A 9,270-nucleotide genomic window follows, 5' to 3' on the forward strand; every position below is an offset into this window, starting at 1 on the left:
TTCTAATGTACTTTGCCTTTCTAAATGCAAACTTTTGCCAAATAATTTCAATATTGTTATTCAATAGAATAACAATAATAATTAACAGAAGTGTAATATAATTTGGATTGTAGGAAATGTTTGAAGCTGATGTATAAAATAATATTGTGCTTCCTAAGGAAATGAATGATTTAAAAAGTAGAAAAAAATTAAATGATAATGTATAGCTTTTACTATGAGGTTTTTATAATTTGTGGCCTGTATACAAAAACATGTTACCATGCCTATATAATTGTCTGGAGGATTTTTTTTCCCAGTAAAAGTGGTGCTTTTTCAGTCATTCCAATATCTTGGTTACTTTTGTTTGTTCATTCATGTATTCCTATTTTTATTCAACAAAGCAGTTAAGAACCTACTGTTGTTAATGTCACCCTATTTCTAACACTAGTATGTGCCATACACAAAGGTTTTATGAATAAAAGACAAAGAAAATAGTACCTATGCCTACAATTTTATATAAATTAGAAAATAAAAGCTGCTGTTTATATGTAAAGGAGATCTTTTAATGGTAATGATTTAATGGACTTAAATTTAGCAAAATATATACAAATTATTCCCTCTGAACATATTTTATTGTCTGTAGAGGATGCCATTATTGACATGAAATCGTGCCTAATTATTCTGGTCAAGAAATACTGCATAAAGTTATTTGCTTTTAAATTTGTGTGGAATGAAACTTAAAAGAACCACAAAGAAAATCTTAGAGGCTAAAGTTGGAGGCATTAGAAAGTTATTAATAGCATCGTTTTTTTATTCTTGACAGTTTCATTATCACACTACCTCATTTTTGTTGCCAATAATTTTCAGAAGTGACAGAAGTTTATATGATGAAAGTAAATGAGACACATATTTGTAATAAGGAACAACTGAGAAATTATTAATTGTAGGTTAATATAGCCAAATTCGCTTTTAAGAATGTGTGTTAAGTAGGGTTAATGTCTTGTTTATAAGCAGTTTATTTCATCTCTTTTCATGTGATGTTATAACTGTTTAAAATAGTATTTATAGTGTAAACTCTTTTGTACTTTCATGTATATATTTGATATGATAATAAGGTGTAACAGAAAATTTTCTTTGTGTAAAATCTGTGATGAATGGGGCAAGGAGACTAGCCAACTACTTAATGAACCATGACCTATTTAAGAAGCCCTGAGTACTTCTCATTAGGGAAACTAATCTTATTCTTTATTCAGTATGTCATTATCATTAAAAATTACTTCTGTAATAGAGGTTCCGTCCACCCCACATGTGCACCTCTACTTATTCTTGAATACAAGAATCTTCAAATATATCTCCGAGAGACGTTTTAAAGACTTAAATGGCTAGAAACTTAATATAACCAATTTGCAGCTTTTTTGGAATGCTTTGTAATGTTATGGCTTCAACACTGAAAAAATTATTCTCTTACTGACATGTTTACTATAAGTAATCTCTGTGAATAAACATAATATTCTATATCTATAGTTTGAATAAACTGGATCAAATCCTAATATTATTTAAATTGCTGGCAGAATTTATATGGTTATATAAATAAAATAGATTAGAAAATTGGAAATATTTATTTGTGGCCTAGGTTATAATATTATATAAATTTGGCCATTTGTTTAGTTATTTACAGATACTAAAACCACACCTAAAATGATATAAAAATATGATTTATAGCAAATGCATTTCTACAGTATATTCTAAATATACTTGGTTTTAAGCCATTAAGTCTATAGGCAGAATCTAGAGTACTCCTTTGTTATGATAAGTAGCTTCAAAAGCATAATGAGTACATCTAAAGCCTTTATAATGGGGAATTCTAAAGGGAGAAAGAGCAACTATGATACACATAGAATCCTTGATTTTAAAGATTTCTCTGAAAGTCTTAGGGCAATGCAAAGATTTGATATGTACAGTCTGTTCTCCACTTCTATTCCAATCAAGATAGTGAGTTACTCTTTACAAAAGTTCACTGATACATGTGGAGACTCACACATTCCTCAAACTGCACTGGAAAACTGAAGATTAAATGTGGTCTTCTCTCTGATGTTCTGTCTGTAACAATAATAGGGCAGATGTGAGTGTGCAAGTCTGTGTGTGTGTGCACATGCATGCATGCCTGTGCAAGTACTGTTGGAGGTGAGGTGGTGGACAAATTGATGAAAGTAGTCTTTTAAAAATTCAACTTAGATAAATGGGGCAAAAATTAGATGTATATTTGTATATGTTTCTGTGTGTGTGTGCATTTCCTGAAGTCATATTTAAAGAGTTTAGATTTTAGTTGCTACTTTTTCTCTCTCTCACTCTTTCGACTTGTGTATAGTCCGTTTTGTGCTGCTATAAAGGAAATACGTGAGGCTGTATAATTTATAAGAAAATGGGTTTATTTGGCTTATGGTTTTGCAAGCTGTACTAGAAGCATGGCATCAGAATCTGCTTCCAATGAGGGCCTCAGGAAGGTTACAGTTATGGTGGAAGGTGCAGGAAAGCTGGCATGTCAGATGGCAAGAGTGGGAGTGAGAGGGAGGGCAGGTGCTAGGCTCTTTTTAACAGTCAATTTTCACTTGAACTAACAGAGGGACAACTCATTCATTACCCCAGGGAGGACACCAAGCCAGTCATGAGGGATCTGGCCCCGTGACCCAAACACCTCCCACTAGGCCCCACCTCCAACACCGGGAGTCACATTTCAACATGAAATTTGGAGGAGACAAATATCCAAACCACATCAACCAGTTCCTATTTTTTTTTTTTTGTCAGACATTTTGCTAGATACAGAGTATAAATTGATAGGGACTAAAGCCTGTCCGTACTTCTTGATGCCATGCAGATGTAGGCACTGCTCTTTCACACTCAGTTGAGCTCTCACAATTGGTAAATTGTAACTGCACATTAAAAAAGTGGAGTGAGGGGGTGCAGACAAGAAGCCACTTTTTTCACATTGGCCTACTTCTTGACACACATTCTTAGAAGCGAATTTGGCTATATTAACCTACAATTAATAATTTCTCAATTGTTCCTTATGAATATGTGTCTCATTTACTTTCATCATATAAACTTCTGTCACTTCTGAAAATTACTGGTAACAAAAATGAGGTAGTATGATAATGAAACTGTCTAGAAAAAAAAATCATGCTATTAAATACTACCTCAAAGTCCTATTGAACAAGGATGGGACTATGTTTCCATTTGGGCTATTTTATAATGAACAATTGCTAAATAAGTCAACATGTTGGTGATTTACATCTTTTTTTTCAAATATCAAATGTATAGAAAGGTGAACTTCTAGTTCCTCAATCCCTATTCCTCATCAACATTTTTTGGGTATTTTTCTGCAAACATATTTACATAAATATCTTTTTAAAAGTTTCTTACCCACTGGCATTTTACAAATATATATATGGCATAAAGTATATAATAACAAAGCCAACATTTGTATGCTAGCTTAAGAAATATAACATCAATATATGCTCATAATTAGAGAAGAAATGGTAATAATTTAAATGTATAATCACAGAAGGATGTATAAATACATTTAACTTGCTTTGTCAGTCACTTTATCTTGGGCATTTTTGCTATCCACCTTTGAACACTGCTATCTGGCTCTTGTCTAGGAAATATATATATAAATATATGTGTATTCAGGTAAAGGATAGTCTCCTGGTACCTAAAGTACTGTTGAGGAAAGATTTGTTTTATTTATTGTGTGAGGTATAGTGTTTTTAACCCAGCTATAATTTAGTAAATGTAAATAGAATCTATAGAATTAGTCAATGTATTAATTATATTAATAAAGCAGTTACTAGAGTAACTGTGATATACTAATAATATACAATTAAATGGTTTCCATGTTCAATAAAAATTGAGTAAATGTCAATAGTGAAGATTCTGAAGGTGAATAGCAAAACTCAATGGTAAGAACAGTGAGAAAATGAAGCAATCTAGCCAAGAGCTAACCTTTTTGTGGACTTTTGTAATATGTAAGTGCTATTCTCAATCATTGGTATTAGCCTACTCCTCTAATCTAAGAGCATTTTGATTACTAGAGAGAGTTCAGCATAAAATATAATTGTCCTTTTGTATCTGTGGGGAATTGGTTCCAGTATCCCCTGCAGATATCAAAATCTATGCATACTCAAGTCCCTGCAGTCTGCCCTGTGGAACCTGTGGATACAAAAAGTTGACCCTCTATATCCATGGATTTTGTGAACACTGTATTTTTGATCTGCATTTGGATGTAAATTCAGAACCTATAGATACAAGGGGCAACTGTATTTATTGAAAAAAAGCCCATGTATAAGTGGACCCTTGCAGTTCAAACCCATGTTGTAACTGTAATTATTTTATATATTATAGGGAATTTATTCAAATTTAATAATTCAGAAATTAGTGACTGAATAATAATCTCTGTAGCATATGGTCTATCTGAAGGATACATAATTCCTTTGTATTGTCTGAGCGTGATTGGTTAAGTTCAGCCAACAAGTTGGGAATGCCTATCACTAGTAAACGTTTGATTCATGACAATTGTGACCATTTTTTAGTCCTTGTTTGTGAATGTGGCTTAGAGAAAGTCTGTCTCATTGGAGAGATAAATTACTTAGCATTTATAAACCGCTCTACTTGGAAATAGGATCTATAAGGAAGTCAAAGGCTAGTAATATCAGAACATTTTTATAATCCATACATTGTAGAATATTGTCTCTGTCATGGTTAAATATTGGAGCAAAAATGGATGTTTATTTATTAGTCCTACAACTGAGAACTTTCACAAGCCTGGTAGCACCTAAAATTAATCTGAGCTTTGATTCCTTAGCATGAAATAACCAATCAAAAGTTCATTCCATGACATAAGCCTTATTATGTAGGCAATATTTTAGAGCCCTAAATGCTCAGGCAATCTGATGGTTTAATCAGATAACCATTCTCTCTGTTAGTTCTTTGTGACATAAGCAAATGCTTCTTGTAGAAACTAGCAATTTTAAAAATATCGTTTGAAGAGATGTGTTTCGTAAGTAGAAAAGTTTTAAATACATTGTCTTCAATATTTATTCTTAGGTTGGTGAGACCAGATGCAAAAAAGTTTGTACTTCTAAGTCTGATCTGAGATCTAATGACTTCAGCATTGTTGGAAGCTTACCAAGAGATTTTGAACTATCCAATTATGACTGCTATGGAAAACCCATTGAAGTTAACAACGGACTTGGGAAATCTCAGGCTAAGAACAACAAGAAGCCTCCCCCTGCGAAACCTGTTATTCCAACAGCAGCAAAGCGAATTGATCTTTATGCAAGAGCATTGTTTCCTTTCTGCTTCTTGTTCTTCAATGTTATATATTGGTCTATATATTTATGATAAATCTTTTCCATTTGTACAAAATAAAATTCCATTTCATTGTGACCTACTCCTTTCATAAATGCCAATCTGTGAGAACTTTTGAATTTTCATAGCAACATTGCATTTTGGATGCCATTTGATTGTAATAAAACTGTGGCACCTTAATTTTGAATGGCAGCATGATCATGTAATATCTGTGCTCTAATAACGATGTATATATGTATAGTGAACATATTGCTTAGTAACAAATGAAGGACAAGCATACTACATAATATAATCCATACAATTCTCTTCAGTTAGTGTAAACTGCAAATACTACAGATAATTCTGATAATAAAATGATATGCACGCTGAATCCTGCTATGGTCACCATTCTAATGTATGTAGTATTTCAAATTTCCTTCCTTGTAACTTTCAAAGAAAGCCATCTTATTCTTGTAAAATTTTAGATGGTATTATCACAGATTTAAAAAGGTTGTATTACATATTGTTTAAACTTTGTAAGTAGAAATATATCTGTTATAATTATACAGGCTCTGTGGAGAAATAAAGTTCAAAATATATTAATTTGTAAAATCAGCTCGTTTTAAAGTGTGCTTGTGTTGTCAAAAATATCAGATAGTAATACACAGTGAGCATTTTTAAACAAAGGGAAACCTATATTTATGTAACTGTATACTGAATTCTGACAAAATAAAAAAAGATACCTTATTGACGAAATATTTAGGATAAACAAAATTCTATTTAATCCACCTTAAAACCTAAATGTATTTTCATGGATTTCATTTGTTGGTACATATTACACAAAACATTGTGCCTTAAAATGAGTCATACATCTTTTAAATTGGAATGCAGTAATAGATATGTGATTTTACATCATTTTTAAGAAACCAAGGGGAAGTAATAAGTTGAAAAAGAAATCCATAACTATTAAAAGATTTTAACTTTTTTATTTTATTAAAATGCTTGCATATTTTAAGTAAAATTAAAAATGTTTACTGAATTTATTTTTTTATTTGAATATTTTGGGATTAGTTACAAAATATTTAGAGATTAAATAAATAATAGCTTTGTTTGTGTTAGACTTCACTTCTACTTGTATTTTCTTTCTTGTTAAAAGTCTAGACAACTGAGATTTACTTACTTTGAACTTGTTCCAATCCAAAAGTAAGCACTAAGTCTCATTTTATGAGACCACCATTTCTTAATATCACATCCAGTGCACCTTTGTCTTTCTGCCATATCTGAAATAAAACTATCAGTAATTCACATAGATAAACATAAGACTAAAGAAGTATATTTACATTATCTGGAGAGTTTTGTTGCAGCTACGAGTTTGTATGGCAAATTCAATAATAAAGTATTGTTTATGCAAATTGCCATATGTAATTCAGTGCTATTCAATTTATTGAAGCCTTGCATTTTTAAAAGATTCTCACTGATTATATTATTTTTAATGGGATATAATCGAATCCTTTGTAGTCCTTCAGCACCCTCTAGTTGTAAAGGTGATATCCGGATAATTTTACAGTGCTACAGTTAACCCTGTTGATGGACTTAATATCTTCTAAGACCCAGGGCAAGAGCATTTTAATGGAACTGTGGTAAGAAAAAAAAAATGAATAGGATTTAAATCACTTAAAATGTTTACTTGTAATAATTATATTTGCTTATAATCTGATTCCTTTATTTTGGCAAGTTTCATTCATATTAGGGAATTTGATCTAGATATAGAGTTTTAAGTGGAAGATGTACCATATTGAAGACGTATCTCATTATATAGAAATTTATTTGTGGAAAATAGCATAAATGAATTACTTTTCTGTAATATAATATTGCAGCCTCTTAAGACCAATTTTAATACCCAAGTATATATGAATCGCTATCCCAGGATTAAGTGTGTATGTGTAACTACAAATGGAACACTAGAAAAAGATCATAACAAAGAAGTATGAGTGTCTGCTGACAGTTGTTTTATAATTCTTCTAAAAGATTTAGTCACAGAACTCCAGAGTAGTTCTGATCTGTGTGCTTTCAGTATTATATATTTCTAGGAGATTCACAGTATATCTACCTGGAGCATCTGCGGATACCTCAAATTCAGTGTCTTTAAAGTAAAAATTATCATCTCAAAAATCAGGTTCTCTCATTTTTTATTTCTGTTAAAGCCATTGCTAATCCAGTTGCCCATGTTAAATTCATCTTCCTTTCTCACACAGTCTGTCCCTTTAAGTATCAAGTCCTATAAATTCTCCCTCTTATACCTATCATCTCCTCTCCATTCCTACTGACACCCTCCTAATTCGTTTTCTCATTCTATGTAATCAGACTCTTTCAGCAGTCTACAGTCTCACGCTAATATAACTCTATTTTTGAACTAACTTCGTAATTTTTGTTTTTTAGTTGCATAGGTAATACCTGAATATGTTGAATATTACAAAACAAACATGTATTTAGAGTCAGTATTTAAAGTTGCTGTCCATAGCCTTTTTCCTTCAAACTATTCTGTCTCTTCCCCAGAGGTCATCATTGTTTTGTATCTATTCAGAACTCATTCTAGGCATTTTCAACATCTATCTAATTTTTAAATATAAAAGATAATGTAACATAATAAGATATTACCCAAATGGGATTTTACCTTATGTAGGGTTTTGCAATTTTTAAAATTTAACATGTCCTAGAGTTTTTTCCAGGTCCTCACCTGGGACATATTAGGTGTTCATAAATTGAGCTTCTGCTATTATTATATAGGATGAATATGTCTTAATTTGATTTCTTTTTAAGTAAAAACTTAGTTTTTCCTCCAAATACAAAATAGAGTTGCAGTAAATGTCTTTGTGCACAAATACGTATATTTCCATGAGGCTGATGCCGAAAGCGGAGTTGCTAAATTGAAAGATAAGTGTCTATTAAATTCTGATAGGCTCTCATTTTCTCTCTAAAAAGCTGCTAAAGTAGCTTTTCATCATGATATGCCCAAATTCCCACAGTAGTAATCTCTTAGTCTAAAGTTGTGGATACATTACTTTTCTTTTTTAAATAATCTTTTTTGACATTGTCTCAGACTTTCAAAAATATTGAAAAAAAATCTAATGAAGAATTTCTGTTTACTCTTCACCTAAATTCCCCAAATGTAAATACTTTCTCATACTTACTTTATTTTTCTCCCTCTACTGTGTGTGCATGAGATATTTTATGTTGAAATATTAAAATTGCAGATATGATGTTTCTTTACCTCTACACACATTAGTGTTTCCTAAAATACAAGAGCATTTTCTTTCATAACCATAGTAGAACAAGATATCAATATCAGGAAGTTAACATTGATAAAATGCTAGAATCTAGAGAATTAATTCAAATTTCCCAATTGTTCCACTATTTTTGGCTGTTGTTCAGGGTTCATTCCAGGATCATGTTTAATTTTCTGATGTTAATTTCTGTAAAATAGAGCTGTGATCGTGGCATTCTGCTCAAACATCTTTAGTGTCTTCTTTTGTCACATGAACTAAAAAATCCTCTCTCGTATGAAATTATCCCTATTAAATGTTTAGCTTATTTTTGCAGATATTTCTCACACTACTACTATTCTCATATCCTAAACTCTTCTCAAACTGATTTTGACTGTTTTATATCACATTTAGTAGTGATTGGAGTACTAAGTTCAGCCAGTTCCTTTTCTTTGAAGTAAGTGGTTAATTTTACGTTTCACAATTTCTTTCAAGTGGACCAGGCTTGGATGTTAAGTGTCTTCAAATAATTATTTAACTAATGTGTATTTATTCAACATTAGGTAATTTTACTTTTTTTATTGATACATAATAGATGTACATATTTTGAGGGCACATGTGATACCTTTGCATAAAATCAGTTCAGGGTAATTAGGATATTCATCACCTTAAATATTTATCT

General features: G+C 31.3%; 1 protein-coding gene across 5 annotated transcripts in view; it reads left to right on the plus strand.

The window, feature by feature from the left end:
* GLRB (glycine receptor beta) overlaps positions 1 to 6,741 on the plus strand; it is a 95,941-nt gene extending 89,200 nt beyond the window's left edge. For all 5 annotated transcript variants that reach the window (NM_001440545.1, NM_000824.5, NM_001166061.2 and 2 more), the window contains one exon: positions 5,083 to 6,741. In NM_001440545.1, the coding sequence (NP_001427474.1) occupies positions 5,083 to 5,379 (297 nt within the window). In that variant the 3' untranslated portion in view covers positions 5,380 to 6,741. The remainder of the gene's footprint in view (positions 1 to 5,082) is intronic.

The sequence above is a fragment of the Homo sapiens genome, chromosome 4 (genome assembly GCF_000001405.40).
Source record: "Homo sapiens chromosome 4, GRCh38.p14 Primary Assembly".
NCBI lineage: Eukaryota > Metazoa > Chordata > Mammalia > Primates > Hominidae > Homo > Homo sapiens.